The 16,484-nt window shown below is 39.4% G+C and overlaps 1 protein-coding gene across 5 annotated transcripts in view; it reads left to right on the forward strand.

The window, feature by feature from the left end:
• Nucleotides 1-4,719, forward strand: part of PKD2 (polycystin 2, transient receptor potential cation channel) — a 70,143-nt gene extending 65,424 nt beyond the window's left edge. For all 5 annotated transcript variants that reach the window (NR_156488.2, NM_000297.4, NM_001440544.1 and 2 more), the window contains 2 exons: nucleotides 1,754-1,901; nucleotides 2,400-4,719. Coding sequence is in view for 4 of the 5 variants with exons in the window: in NM_000297.4 (NP_000288.1) it covers nucleotides 1,754-1,901; nucleotides 2,400-2,636 (385 nt within the window). In the remaining variant the exon portion in view is untranslated. The remainder of the gene's footprint in view (nucleotides 1-1,753; nucleotides 1,902-2,399) is intronic.

Genomic DNA, 16,484 nt, shown 5'->3' on the forward strand with positions numbered 1-16,484 from the left:
GGAACATTGAGGCTGGGCATGGTGGCTCATGCCTGTAATCCTAGCACTATGGGAGGCCAAGGCAGGAGTATCACTTGACGCTAGGAGTTCAAGACCAACCTGGGTAACATAGCGAGACTTTGTCTCTATTAAAAAAAAAAAAAAAAAAGGTGTAAAAAACTTTTGTAACAAGAGTGGGAAAGCCGGGCACAGTGGCTCACACCTGTAATCCCAGCACTTTGGAAGGCCAAGGCAGGCAGGCGGATCACCTGAGGTCAGGAGTTTGAGACCAGCCTGGCCAACGTGGTGAAACCCCATCTCTACTAAAAAATAGAAAAATTATCTGGGCATGGTGGTGCACACCTGTAGTCCCAGCTACTCGGGAGGCTGAGGCAGGAGAATCACTTGAACCTACGAGGCAGAAGTTGCAGTAAGCCAAGATCACGCCACTGCACTCCAGCCTGGGCGACAGAGCAAGACTCTGTCTCAAAAAAAAAAAAAGAGTGGAAATGTTAGGATGAGAAATGCTGGCAGCCTGCCCCTCCCTGGGAGATACTGTAGCCCTAGACTGGAAGTTGGGGGAGGAGGGAGCCCTGTGCTCTTAGCTGCACCCATGTGAAGTTGTGCTTCTATCACATGAGCTGGGGACAGGAGAGAAGGCTCAGATTATGGCTTCAGTGCCACAGAATCTCTTCATACTAAAATTTAGTAGATTTTCTTGAATAAATGCTTTTTCATTTGCTGTACACCCTTAAAAGTTTCTAGAAATTTTTAATATTTGAGTTTTAAAAAATAATTTTCAACAGTTACAGTTATTTCACTAAAGAGAGAGTCTACAGAACCCTCTTGCCACCATTGCAGAGGTTGTCTTTGGCTTACGAGTTTTTAAAGTATTTGTATACATTTTTTAAGTTCAAAATAATAGAATTGTAAGTGAACATGCTGTTTTCATACTGTTTTTCAAGCTTTATTTAATATATTGTAAATCTAATTCTATTTTATTAAATAGTCTGCCACAGTATAATGTCTGATGTCTCCTTAGAATTTTATTGTATGGATGAACAATGATTATTTAATTTCCTACCAATTGTTGGGTGTTTTTTGTTTGTTTGTTTGTTTTTGAGACTGGGTCTCACTCTGTCACCCAGGCTGGAGTGCAGGAGTGCGGTGGAATGATCACGGCTCACTGCAGCCTCAACATCCCAAGGCTCAGGTGATCCTTCCACCTCAGCCTCGCAAGTAGCTGGGAGTACAGGCACATGCCACCATGCCCACCTATTTTTTAGAGATGAAGTTTTGCCATCCTGCCCAGGCTGGCTCGAACTCCTGGCCTCAAGCGATCTGCACACTTCCGCCTCCCAAAATGCCAGGATTACAGGCGTGAGCCATCATGCCCTACCCCCCCATCAATTGTTTGATGTAGCCATTTTTCAATGATCCGCGATTAAGAAGCAGCACTCTTTTATAGCCAAAAATTACACATATATAAAATTTTCCTTTAGAAAATGTTCTAAAAATGGAATGTCTAACTAAAGGGTTAGGCATACATTCTTAAGACTTCTGATACGCGCTGACTTGCAGGAAAGTTGTTTCAGTTAACACTCCTACCAGCGGCATCCGAGAGTTAATCTGTAAAGCTTGAGACAACTTAGAAAGTGTTTCAAATGATTGTGTTGCTTAAGAAAAAAATCTTAGCACTTCCTTTTGAAAAGCCAGTGGGGCTGAAAAGACAATGACAAGCACTTTGTCCCTCTGTACTGTGTTTTCCTTGCAGCCTGGTGAGACGAGTGGACCGGATGGAGCATTCCATCGGCAGCATAGTGTCCAAGATTGACGCCGTGATCGTGAAGCTAGAGATTATGGAGCGAGCCAAACTGAAGAGGAGGGAGGTGCTGGGAAGGCTGTTGGATGGGGTGGCCGAGGTCAGTAGTCATGAGCTGAAAACACCGCTGCTGAGCATGGTGTTATTAATGAAAATATATGTTGCTGACAGTTGTATTTGAAGTATTGAAGAAGAGTAAAAAAAATTTACGTTTATAGAAATTCACAATGATGTTTCCATTTACTCTCATTTTCAGATTTTTTTCTCTGAAACAGAAACACTCTTTCTATAAAATCTCTTGCTATAAAACATCAATGTAGTCATATTGTCTAACCCTTAGGCTGAGATGTTTATCTTTCTCCATAACTACAGATAAAATTATAATCTGGAGGTGTTACTTTCTTAATACTCCATATGCTAATGGTCCTGCCTTCACTGCAGGGTAGAATTAAGTGAAAAATTACTCCAGCAACTCTGAGATTTGCTATTATATGCTGTAAATCTCCAGCCTTACCAAACTACAGATTATTTGGTCCCTGGACTTCCTAAGGCATTTCCTTCTACTGCCCCCAACACCAGTTTCTTTTTCCCTTTTTAGGATGAAAGGCTGGGTCGTGACAGTGAAATCCATAGGGAACAGATGGAACGGCTAGTACGTGAAGAGTTGGAACGCTGGGAATCCGATGATGCAGCTTCCCAGATCAGTCATGGTTTAGGCACGCCAGTGGGACTAAATGGTCAACCTCGCCCCAGAAGCTCCCGCCCATCTTCCTCCCAATCTACAGAAGGCATGGAAGGTGCAGGTGGAAATGGGAGTTCTAATGTCCACGTATGATATGTGTGTTTCAGTATGTGTGTTTCTAATAAGTGAGGAAGTGGCTGTCCTGAATTGCTGTAACAAGCACACTATTTATATGCCCTGACCACCATAGGATGCTAGTCTTTGTGACCGATTGCTAATCTTCTGCACTTTAATTTATTTTATATAAACTTTACCCATGGTTCAAAGATTTTTTTTTCTTTTTCTCATATAAGAAATCTAGGTGTAAATATTGAGTACAGAAAAAAAATCTTCATGATGTGTATTGAGCGGTACGCCCAGTTGCCACCATGACTGAGTCTTCTCAGTTGACAATGAAGTAGCCTTTTAAAGCTAGAAAACTGTCAAAGGGCTTCTGAGTTTCATTTCCAGTCACAAAAATCAGTATTGTTATTTTTTTCCAAGAGTGTGAAGGAAAATGGGGCATTCCTTTCCACTCTGGCATAGTTCATGAGCTTAATACATAGCTTTCTTTTAAGAAAGGAGCCTTTTTTTTCAACTAGCTTCCTGGGGTAAACTTTTCTAAAAGATAAAATGGAAAGGAACTCCAAACTATGATAGAATCTGTGTGAATGGTTAAGATGAATGTTAAATACTATGCTTTTTTGTAAGTTGATCGTATCTGATGTCTGTGGGACTAACTGTATCACTTAATTTTTACCTTATTTTGGCTCTAATTTGAATAAGCTGAGTAAAACCACCAAAGATCAGTTATAGGATAAAATGGCATCTCTAACCATAACACAGGAGAATTGGAAGGAGCCCTAAGTTGTCACTCAGTTTAATTTCTTTTAATGGTTAGTTTAGCCTAAAGATTTATCTGCATATTCTTTTTCCCATGTGGCTCTACTCATTTGCAACTGAATTTAATGTTATAACTCATCTAGTGAGACCAACTTACTAAATTTTTAGTATGCACTGAAAGTTTTTATCCAACAATTATGTTCATTTTAAGCAAAATTTTAAGAAAGTTTTGAAATTCATAAAGCATTTGGTTTTAAACTATTTTAAGAATATAGTACTCGGTCAGGTATGACGGCTCACGCCTGTAATCCCAGCACTTTGGGAGGCCGAAACAGGCGAATCACTTGAGCCCAGGAGTTCAAGACCAACATGGGCAATGTGGCGAAACTCCATCTCTACAAAAAATGCAAAAATAAAAAATATAGTACTCAAGTATTCTTGATCCTGTGTTTCAAAACTAGAATTTGTAATGCAAATGGAGCTCAGTCTAATAAAAAAGAGGTTTTGGTATTAAAAGTTCATACATTAGACAGTATCAGCCAAAATTTGAGTTAGCAACACTGTTTTCTTTACGAGAGGGTCTCACCCAAATTTATGGGGAGAAATCTATTTCTCAAAAAAAAAAATCTTCTTTTACAGAAATGTTGAGTAAGGTGACATTTTGAGCGCTAATAAGCAAAAGAGCATGCAGTGCTGTTGAATAACCCTCACTTGGAGAACCAAGAGAATCCTGTCGTTTAATGCTATATTTTAATTTCACAAGTTGTTCATTTAACTGGTAGAATGTCAGTCCAATCTCCAATGAGAACATGAGCAAATAGACCTTTCCAGGTTGAAAGTGAAACATACTGGGTTTCTGTAAGTTTTTCCTCATGGCTTCATCTCTATCTTTACTTTCTCTTGAATATGCTACACAAAGTTCTTTATTACTACATACTAAAGTTTGCATTCCAGGGATATTGACTGTACATATTTATGTATATGTACCATGTTGTTACATGTAAACAAACTTCAATTTGAAGTGCAGCTATTATGTGGTATCCATGTGTATCGACCATGTGCCATATATCAATTATGGTCACTAGAAAGTCTCTTTATGATACTTTTTATTGTACTGTTTTTCATTTCACTTGCAAAATTTTGCAGAATTCCTCCTTTCTACCCATAAATTACATATATTTTTCTTCTTTAGTCATGGAGAACTCCCCCCCTCATCTCTTCCCTATTATCTTTCCCTGTGTACTGGTATTATTAAAAAGACATTACATACGCAAGTCTTTCTCGACAATCAAGAATGTTATTAATGTGTAATACTGAGCACTTTACTTCTTAATAAAAACTTGATATAGTAGCAGATGTGAGAGTTGTCTGTTTTCTAAGTAGTCACAGGTAATGTGCCTTTTATCATGAGACTTTGACTTTGAAAAAGGCACCTTCTCTATGTCCGAAAACATTAATTGGTACATTTCTCTGTTTATTACACGAGCTACACAATTCAGGTACCCAGTTAGCCTTTAAGCACAGGGCTGTCATTTATGGCATTTTTGTTTTTATTTTCCTGAAACGAAGATTCCAGGGCAGGTGGTTTATTTGAGAGGTGTAGGCAATAGGGATAGTGGAGTGGGAAGGACGGGGAGAAGAGAGGGTGCCAGTAAAGGGCGTGTCGTCTAGCTGCATAACAGCATAGGCTGCCAAAGCCTAATTCCTGTGGTAAAATGCTGAGAAACAGTTTAGGACAAATGAGAACAAACAATTCAGACTTATCCCAGCTGAAGGGCCAGGACTTTGGTTGAAAGACCACTCTGGGAGAATGATAGCAATTCCCTAGCACGTCCAGTAGACAAAGCAGCCTTTGCTGGCTTCTGAGCAAGCCTGTAGGCAAAGAAATGCAGACACTGGTAGATGAAAACCAGCAGGCATACACTGAAGTGCCACATGGTCAAGGTGCCCACGTTATACACTATGTATGATCACGCATTGTTCAATCCTAAGGGATTCCATCCCCTTAGAATACTACAAATGGGGCTCCATGGAGTTGTGCCACATGGTGACTCTCTATGCAGACCACCCATAAAACAGATAAGTTTAAAAGCATAAAGAAACAAGCACTAGGCTAAGACTCTGGTCCCCACTCTATACTTCCTAGTCATGTGATTATGCCAAGACAACTGGTCCAGTTTCTCTGAAGACTCTTATTTCTTCATTTGTCAAATGGGAAAATCAATACTTGTCTCCCTCATAGGATTTTGCTTGTGCAGTAAGAATATATATGTATGAAAGCACTTTAAAGCTGAAATTTCCATTACAAATGGAAGGCGGTACTACAGTACCTAGCCCAGTGACTTGCTCAGCAAGTTACAATCTGTTGAATCAGCAAAAAGGAAAGGAATTCTTGACAACTGCAAATTTGAAAGGTAAATAAAGGAGAATGATGTTGCCAAATGATAACTCAATACTTACTTAAAAGTCTTCTGTGTTTGTATTTCAAAATTGGGCTATTATTTGTACAGTTTTGTGTACGGCTTTTTCACTTCATACTGTATCATAAACATTCCATGAAACCCTGATTTCTATTAATAACTACAGAGTGAATCAATATAAATTAATATTATTTATGAAGGCCGGACACAGTGGTTCACATCTGTAATCCCAGACCTTTGGGAGACTGAGGCAGGAAAACTGCTTGAGGCCAAGAGTTCAAGACCAGCCTGGGCAACATAGCGAGACCCTGTCTCTATAAAAATAATCTGGGCATAGTGGTACATGCCGGCATTCCCAGCTATGCAGCTGAAGCAGAAGGATTGCTGGAGCCCAGGAATTTAAGGTTACAGTGAGCTATGATCACACTACCACTGCATTTCAGCCTGAACTGAGTGACACCCTGTCACTAAAATTAAAAAAATATATATAATATATGAATATGTGATACATGTCAATTAATTCATAAGTTGTTATACATTTTTAATTCATATGAATTACCCAAAATACATCTGCCCTGTTGTTGGACATTTAGATTGTTCCCGTTTTTTATTATTACCTCTAATGCCATGACTAACATATGTCGACATAAATTTTTTCACATATCTGGTTATTTCTTCATGGAATTCTGTATGGAGAAATATCTGGAAATGTAATAATTAGGTTAATCTATATGAACACATGGTTTTGACACATATTACCAATTTTTCAGAACATTTATACCAAGTCATATTATAACCAAATTTATGAGTACCCATTTGTCCACCTGCAAACACAGAGAACTTTTTTGTAAAAAGTGTTTATTTTTATTTAAATTTAAACAGAAGAAAATTATGCACAAAAATGAAGAAATTGCTGAATCTCAGATACTGCTTCACAAAAAACAAGATTTCTTAGAGTTTCTTCTAGACTTTAAAAAGCAGTAAACACCAGCCTGGGCAACATGGCAAAAACCCCATCTCTACAAAAAATAGAAAAATCAGCCGGGCATGGTGGTGCTCGCCACTGCACCTCCAGCCTTGGTGACAGAGTGAGACCCTGTCTCAAAACAAAAAACAAAAAACATACACACAAAAACCAATAAACAAAAACTTTAAGAGGTAGAGATGTTTTAGTGGATGTAAATTTAAGTTTCAAGACAGTAGAACATGGCCAACATTTTTAGAAAAATCACAGACCACCACTCATCTCTTAAAGGAAAAAACAACCTTTGATGGAGAAGATTAATATTTGTCAGTAAGTGAAAGTGGCATCAATCTTACAGTTCCATAAGGGTTTGATTTTTTCATATGGATCATTTGTGTTTTTTCTCTTACGAACTGTGCTGGTTCTTTTACTGATTAAAAGAAATATTTGTCTGGTTCAAGTTGGTGTTTGCATTTTGAAAAGAAAGAAACATCTAATACTATTGGGGAAAGGGTCAACTCAAAGATGTACTTAAAACGACCAGTGGTCCCTTATCACATCATGTAAATCGTAAGAAGGTAAGGGCATGCCCTTGAAATGGCAGTATTATTATAAGCCACTTGAGCTCTACTGCATCCAGAGGGATGAAAAAATTGAATATGCTGCACCTTTCACCATGACCCTGCCAAATGGAGGAAGCATTGGGAATATTTGGTCACCCAAGTAAGAGCTATGTTGAAAATTATAAGTTATTTTCTATTTATAAGTAATAGTTAAAAGACATCAGTAGCTTGGAAAACAAAACGGCTTTGAGAAATGCAATATTCCTTAAGCAATGGAGACAGCCAGTGCTCCCAGAAAATCCAAACGCCTATGAATTTCAACTCTAAAGAGATGTATTGAATGGTCATAGAGCTACTGCTGTCAACACAAATTGTTTTATTTATCCTGATCAGTCTATTAGCTTATCAAACAAATCTGAACATACCATTAAGTTGAATGTGCAGTTGCAGGTTCAAAAGTTGTTCACTGTTGTCTGTTTAATCTGAGTCCAGTCTTTGAACTTAAGAAAAAACAAACTAGAAACACATGATGAAATTTTCTAATGCCTTATTTATTTTATCCTAGTCTGTTCTTTAAATGAAGAATACACATTTTTTTTCATTGGATCAAAGTATAAGATTTTAAAGGTTTGAAAAGCAGTCCTCCAAGTTTCATGCTGAGTTCAAAATAAAAATGTTTTCATGTTCAGGCCATTATATGTTGCCTGATTCATCTTGAAATCCCTTCCTTTGAATAAGACCAAGCAAAATCTGTTCAGTCTTTGTATAAACCAAAGCCGTTTCTTGGTCAATAATTCTTTTTTACCATTAAGATTGCCAATACAATACATTCTGAGTACATAACAATTTATATATCTATACATATTTGTTTGTTTTGTTTGTTTGTTTTTTTGAGGCGTAGTCTCGTGCTGTCACCCAGGCTGGAGTGCAGTGGCGCGATCTCCGCTCACTGCAACTCCGCCTCCCAGGTTCATGCCATTCTCCCACCTCAGCCTCCTGAGTAGCTGGGACTACAGACGCCTGACACCACACCCGGCTAATTTTGTTTTTGTATTTTTAGTAGAGACAGGGTTTCACCGTGTTAGCCAGGATGGTCTTGATCTCCTGACCTCGTGATCCGCCCACCTCGGCCTCCCAACACAATTTATATTTTTGAAGGTCCTTTTATGTGTATTGTGCCATATGCTTCTCACATCAGCCCCAATAAATGCTTTAGGCGTTTTATATTATCTACCACTATTACATGCTCTCCATCTCCAGACTACCCATTTCTGCCATTGCCCTCATAGGGGCCCATTCTGATAATTCTGGATATGTAGAAAAATAAATCCTGTTTATGTGTTTAAATAAATAGATGTATACTATAGACCTTTCTTTTTCTTACAATGCTTTTATTAAGGTGTATTTCTTCTGCAGTGTGCAGCTCTAGTAAGTTACCCTGTTGATTGTGTAGCACTTCCTAGCATGCAGCCACATTTGACATAGTATCTATTACTATAGCGAATGGTTGGCCCTAATTCTATTTCAGAATCTTTGGGCTGGTCACGGTGGCTCAAGCCTGTAATCCTAGCACTTTGGGAGGCTGAGGTGGGTGGATCATTTGAGGCCAGGAATTAATGACCAGCCTGGCCAACATGGCGAAAACCCATCTCTACTAAAAATACAAAAAAGTAGCCAGGCGTGGTGGTGCATGCCTGTAGTTCCAGCTGCTCGGGAGGCTGAGGCAGGAGGATTGCTTGAACCCAGGAGGCAGAGGTTGGAGTGAGCCAAGATTGCACCACTGCACTACACTCCAGCCTGGGTGTCAGAGTGAGACTCTGTCTCAAAAAAAAAAAAAAAGAATCTTTGTAAATTCTCTTACTGACTTTTCATAAGTTTCTCGGTGGGTATATAACAGAAGTTGGAGTGCTGAATCCCAGGCATATACTCACCCAGAACCATCAGGTTGCCCTCCAGAATGACTGCACCAGCCTACGATTCCACTACATACATGAGAAAACTGGATTTAGCCATACTTTCACCAGCACTGGCACCACCTAGCTTCTTCATCTGTGCTAGATGGAATGTTTTAAAAGTGAGACCTCATTTTGCATATCTTAGATTCCTAATAAAGTTGAATATCCATCCCCTCAACTAGTCATTAGTCATTAGGGTTTCTCTTTGTAAATTACCTATCAAACCTTTAAAATCTTGCAATTCGATCTAATGGGAAACAAGTATGTTTCTGTTTATTGCCTATTTCTCTGCTGGTCAAGGTCTTTTTATCGTTTGTTACAAGTTTCTTGTATTGTTTAAATATTAATCCCTTATCAGTTTGGACCCTGTTAATATCTCTTATCCACCTGATAACTTGCCAATGTTTCCCTCATTTTTACATAGAAAAATTCATCAATGTTTTTGCCGCATTGTTTTGGGGGTCTTCAAGAGACCATGAGGTCACACAATTTTTATTTATTAAACTTATGGTTTTATCTTTCACATTTAATGTTTTAAATTTGTATAAAAGGTCTGTAGGTATTTTTGTCCACATAATGAGCCAGTTTTATCAACACTCTATTAAAAAAGTCGTTTTACCTTAGTAGCTCATGATGTCAATATATTTCAGATTCATGCATATATGTGCCTGTTTTTGAACACTTTATCCCGTTCTGCTGATCTAGGATTGTTCCTGTACAATGACTTCTATGACTATATCTTTGTAGTATGTCTTCAGATGTGGTGAGGTGATGCCTCTCTGGGTTTATTTTTTGTTTTGCAAAATCGGACTAAGCTATTTTTGTGAATCATTTTTTTCCATATAAATGTTAAAATAAGTTTGATGGGTTCCTTAGAGGAAAAAGAGGGAAAAGTCTCATTGAAATTTAATTTGAATTGCGTTGAATATATTGGTTTGAGGAGAATTGACATCTTTACAATATCAGAAACATGATAATGCACCCTTTATTCAGATCTTCCATCATGTCCTTTAAAAGGTCCGTCAAGACCTTTAAAATTCCTTAAAGATCTTATGCATTGTTTAATATGAATGGTCTTATTGCTACTATAGCTTTACTGTTTTATGGTTTTATTGCTATGATGAACAGAATCTTCTCTTTCATTATTGTTTCTAGTTGGTTATTGCTATTATAAAGGAAATTAATTTACTAATTTTTAAATAAATTAATCTTATATTCAGCACACTTGTTGAAGTTTTTTACTAGCTCTGGTTCTGTGTTTCTTTAGGTTTTCTTTTCTTTTTCTTTCTTTTTTTGTAGAGACAGGGTCTCACTCTGTTGCCCAAGCTGGAGTGCAGTGGTGATCACAGCTCACTGCAGCCTCAAACTCCGGGTCTCAAGTGATCCTCCTGCCTCAGCATCTCACAGTGCTGGATTAGCAGGCGTGAGCCACCGCACCTGGCCTTCTTTAGGTTTTCTATGTAGAAGACCATCTCATCTGTAAATAAGGACAGTACCATGCTAGAGAGAGGCAGCCAAAGTAGACATGTTTATTTCTCGTCTTAATGAGAATGTGTTTTAGTTTGTGTTTCTCTGAAAGAAGAGATAAGACAAGCACTTTGGGTTCAAGTATTTCATAGTTTATTTGGGAGGTGATATTCAAAAACTGGAGTAGGGAACAAAGTAACACAAAAAAGGAGGAAATGCCAGGACGCCGGTGTGTTTCCTAAGCAGCAGGGCCTCAGCTCCTCCTCTGGGAACATGACAGAATGCCCCCGTCTGAAGAACTAAGGCTGGGTCATTTGCCCACTGGCCCCAATCCCTACTGGTTGAGGGGTGCTCCTGGGATGTTACCAGGCTACACCTGCACACAAGGTGAGCTTCTTTCAGCTTTGGAGAAAGCCCAGGAGCAGAAAGTGAAGAGATGTGTGGTGCAGGGGTGGGATGCTAAGATCTGAGCTCACATGAACTGTCCACCAGAGCTGCAACCAAAATCAGATAGGAGACAGCAATGAAAGTGTCTACTTCAGTCCACCCCTTGCACCATTCAGATCCACTCATGCACACCCTGGACTTTTTGAGGGAGAGGCCAGCTGTAATCTCTAGGTAACACAATATAGGAATGGAACTACCTAGTCCCCATTGTTGCCACTGGTCACACAGCTGTAGTAATAACTTCACCCTCTAATGTCCTTCCAGGAGCTCCCTCGCTGTCGGCTGGTACTTCAACTGTACTAAGCTGCTTGCCTGGTGCGCTGATCTGAACCTTCAATCTCGAGGGCTCAGAGCCCTTGGTTACCTTGCCCTTACAGAGCCGTGGAGCATGGAAACACTGAGTTATCTCTGTGAAATCTCTGCCCAATTATGTAGCAGTAACCCCAGCCTCTCAGGATGACAAACACATCTCCTTTCTCTGCCTGCTCTTCCACAGGTGTGGAAATCCCAGAGACCACGTGGCAGGCAGTATCAGACTCAGTGGAACCCTCACTGTACTTCCAGGTTGGACACGTCCTCCTACTTTTTAAGTCCAGGGCATCTAAACGGGCAGAGTCTAAAGCTGCAGAAACAGGAGTGTAAATTCTAAAGAGGGGTTAATGGGAATGATATTGAGAGAAGCGAATATTGCTTGATTGATGGACCTGTGTATTCTAACTGTTGGAAGCAGGCAGGAACTACTCGTTTAATGTAGGGATCTGCAAACTTTACACACAGGACCGATAATAACTATTTTAGGCTTTGTAGGTCATAATGGTCTTTGGTGCAACCACTTTGCCATCATAGGGCAAAAACAGCCACAAACACTACAAAGGTGAATGAGCATGGCCGTGTTCCAATAAAGCTGCATTTTCAAAAGCAGACAGTGGGCTAGATTTGGCTGGCAAGCCAGTTTGTTGAACTCTGGCTCAATCCATACAACACATGCTGGAGGATGGTGCCTCAGTTTCCACTGAGGGCATCACCCATGAACTGCCACTAGCATGATGCTTATGACCAGTCATGTCCTGTGGAATATAACAGTAATAGCTAAAAATGTATTGAGCAGGTCCTATGACCAGGTACTTCTAGGCACTTTACATGTAGCATCTTATGTAATTTCCATACCCCGATCGTGGTAGATACTATTAGAATCCCTATTTTGTGGGTAAGAACATTATAGATTACCCTCTCTAGTCCATCAGGGTTACAGACCTGGTAAGTAAAGGATGACAAGAGGAGGAGAACTGGGGAATCTTGCCTGGGCTTGACTTAGGACTTTTCAACTTTGCAATGGTATGAAAGCCACACGCATTCAGTAGTACCATACTTTGAGTACCATACCACCATTCTCTTTTTCACATTCAGTATTCAATGAATTAGAGATTAGCTGTAGAGATAAAAAGGCCCCATTTTTGCCTCACAGCTCTTACAACTCCTTAGCTTCCACTGACACCCACTGCACCCATTCTGGCTTATGCATAGGGCATTTTCCAAAGTAACCCACCTCAGGATTGGTCAAGATGCCCCTGATAATACTGCAGTATTTTCCAAATCTTATCAAGGAAATAATCTGTGTGACCTCTGGCCGGTTGCAGTCTAAATACAGGTTTCCCCATTTGGAAAATGAAAAAGATGAAACAGCTTGAGGTTTTCCAAACAGCACACCGCCAAGCCTCTCATCATTGAGCTGATGCTTCAGAATTTGGTGCCTGACAAAGGGAGCCAAGTGAGAGCCCGCATCCTCACTTTGATCAAAGCAGCACCACTTCCAAGTGTCATTTAGCAGAGGCCCATATACAAATGGTCTCCGAATTGCGAGGGCTTGACTTAGGGCTTTTTAACTTTGCAATGGTACAAAAGCCATGCACATTCAGTAGAACTAGACTTTGAGTATCATACCAACATTCTGTTTTTCACTTTCAGTATTCAATAGATTACAGAGATATTCAACACTTTAATATAAAATCGGCTTTGTGTTAGGGGATTTTGAACTGCAGGGTATGTCAGTGTCCTGAGCGCATTTTTAGGCTAGGCTAAGCTATCATATTCTGTAGGTTCGATGCATTAAGTGTATTTTTGACTTACAATATGGGTTTACCGGAAGGTAACGCCATCGTAAGTCGAGGACCATCTGTACGCTGTTCTATGGGGCTCAGGGGTGGAAGGATGACTCTGCAGCTAAAAAATGATCTGAAGATCAGGTGATGTTAATGGGCTCACTTAGTTCTACTTGTGCTTCTGATATTTAGGTGGATACAAAATACAACGCATGGCTTTGAACGCAACAGTTACCCAGTGATTGAATGAAGATCAAATTATAACAATGGAAGTTAGTGAGCCTTAACTTCTTATTGCAATCCTAAGTAGGTGCTATATTTCCCAAAGAATTACCTAGAATTTCCAGCTTACCTCTGACACAAGGGAGAAAAAAGGTAATACTTTCCTTCCTATTATAGGCATTCTAGATGACCACTGATTCTTATCAGGCAAGCTCTGGAAATTCCACCCTATGTAATCACAAAGAAATGTGCCAGCCTGGGCAACCAAGTGAGACCTTGTCTCTACAAAAAAATTAGCCAGGTGTGGTGGCGTGCACCTATAGTCCCAGCTACTCGGGAGGCTGAGGTGGGAGGATCACTGGAGCCTGGGAGATCGAAGCTGCAGTGAGCTGCGACTGAGCCACTGCACTAAAGAACAGAGTGAGACGCTGAAAAAAAGAAAGGAAGGAAGGAAGGGAGGGAAAGAAAGAAATTTGAAGGTTTATAGTTTAGAAAACAAGAGTTACTTTGATTTAGAGTATCATTTTGTTCATATTGCTAAGTGGAGGGAAAAAAGTAGTCTACAAGTCAACATGCAAGTCAACCATTTATTTAAAGTATGTATACAAACAGGCTGCAAGCCACATGGTAGCTATGTCTGGTGGGGTTCAAGGCCAGGATCTTTAGTCCACAGAAGATAAACACAAGCCCACAAGGGTGGGACACTGCTATCTCCTGCATTGTCTTGGTGAAGGTGAGCTGGAGCAACTATTCAGGTTAGCTTGACACACAAATCCCTATGGATGTCATAGACATTGTTGCGTTGGTCTTAAATCCCAATTCTGTGTTTACCAAGGAACCCTCTGATCTCAGTTTCACACCTGAGACAATAATGTAACAAGATAATGTCCACATTAACACTTTACTATTTTAATGAGCAATTTGGTGCTCTGGGTTACAGATCCTTGGTGGGATCACTGGTGTGAATTGATTACTCAGAGAATAGCCACGCTTTTGGATGCACTAAAAAGAAAAATTCCAGGCCAAGTGTGGTCTTAACACCTGTAATCCCAGCACTTTGGGAGGCTGAGGTGGGTGGATCACCTGAGGCCAGGAGTTTGAGACCAGCCTGGCCAACATGGTGTAACCTCGTCTTTACTAAAAATACAAAAATTAGCTAGGCGTGGTGGCACACACCTGTAGTCCCAGCTACTCAGGAGGCTGAGGCAGGGGAATCACCTGAACCTGGGAGGCTGAGGTTGCGGTAAGCCAAGATCGCACCACTGCACTCCAGCCTGAGACAGAGTGAGACTCCGTCTCAAAAACAAACAATTCCTGAACATGAAAAAAAAAAAAAAAAAAAAAAAGACAGTCTCCCCCACAAGCCCTGAGGCCAGAAGGTTCCATCTCAACTGATATCAGCCTCTCTTACCCCTCTTACCACACTAACTGCCACCACACAGGACTGAGTGTACTCAGAACAACCTTGAAACTAATGCCAGATGCAGAAACCCACTTTTCGCCTTTTGTCAAAGCAGGGCAGAGAGGTAGGGGAGAGAATGAAGTATCAGGAAGCACTGTGTTTGTTCTATTAAGGAGAAACAGGATTTCAATATAATATCTTGAAAATTAAAATTACAACAAATTTCTTAGAACTTTGGTTTATCAGCATATTAGCATATTGACACAGTCTCACATGAAGCAGGAACAACTGTCTACAGGAGGTATCTCTGCAAATGATGGCCTCTGGGCCAGATCTGGTGTTCCTTGGCTGTGATGTACAGCCCCCCTGCTAAGTAGAGTTTTTACATTGCTGAGAAATGGTTTTTAACTTTTTTTATAAAGTTGTTTTTTAAAAGAGGCAAATAGCAAAAAAAAGACCCTGAGAGAGAAAGTATCAGGCCCTTCTCAGAAAGTTTGTCAACCCCTGGTTTACAGGAATAATGAACTCTCCTCCGTCCTGCCTCCACCAACCAAAACAAAGTCTTAAAAAAAAAAATACACAAGACCAACCAGAAGCACAGGTGGAAAGATGACTTTTTGAACAAAAGACTACCCTCCCCTCCTTGATCTTAGCAACTTTAGTCTGAATTTGCATGACAGAAAATTCAAATTTTTGTAATAAATCAAAATAAATAAATTATAGGGTTGCACTGAGAAATTTAGTGGACATTGAAAAAGTCAAATTGGCTGGCTGCTCTTCTTGAAGGTAGTTGAAAAAAAAACAATTTAATGTAAATATCCATGCATGCACAGAACTTTAAAGGTAGAAGAAACTCTCATTTTACAGATGCATAAAGGAATTTGGGGAATGTAAGGTTCTATGAAAACAAAGAACATGAAATGAAAAAAAAAGTATTAAGAATTACTTAGTCCTTTTGATATCCATGTGAGGTAGGGAGAGCAATATTCCCAGCATAAGCACAAAAATCATCAAGCCAGGACACTAAAAATAATTAAAGAGATGGATATAATTACATAACTTTGAAAACATGTATTTCTTGATTGCATATTTGCTTTATGTCTATATTGATAGACATAGAAGATGTATTTACTCAAACCTTATTTTTTAAATATCTTTCAGAATGCACCATAAGAAACTTGTTTGGATTATATTTTTGTGCATGCACAAAAAAAGGGCTGCAATATGAAGTATTTTTTTTTTTACTATGAATACCAGACAAAAGTTTTTAAAACACTGTAATGACCTGCAGGTGTTGTCAAGCCAATGACCTGTTATAATCCTACTGCTACATCCAAAAGAAAAGTTCTTTAGACACAGTACAGTGAGGTATCATAAAACAGTATATATTGCCACTAAAGAATGCAAAGCAATATAGATAGTATACATTTATAGTATAAACAGTATAAATAGCAACTTATATTCATTTAACTGAGATTTCTTTTATGTTAAACCACATTAATTCGTCTCCATTATAGATTAGTTCTGACATCCAGGAAAATAAAATCAAAAGAATATATATATATAAAAAACATAAAATG

The sequence above is a fragment of the Homo sapiens genome, chromosome 4 (genome assembly GCF_000001405.40).
Source record: "Homo sapiens chromosome 4, GRCh38.p14 Primary Assembly".
Lineage (NCBI taxonomy): Eukaryota > Metazoa > Chordata > Mammalia > Primates > Hominidae > Homo > Homo sapiens.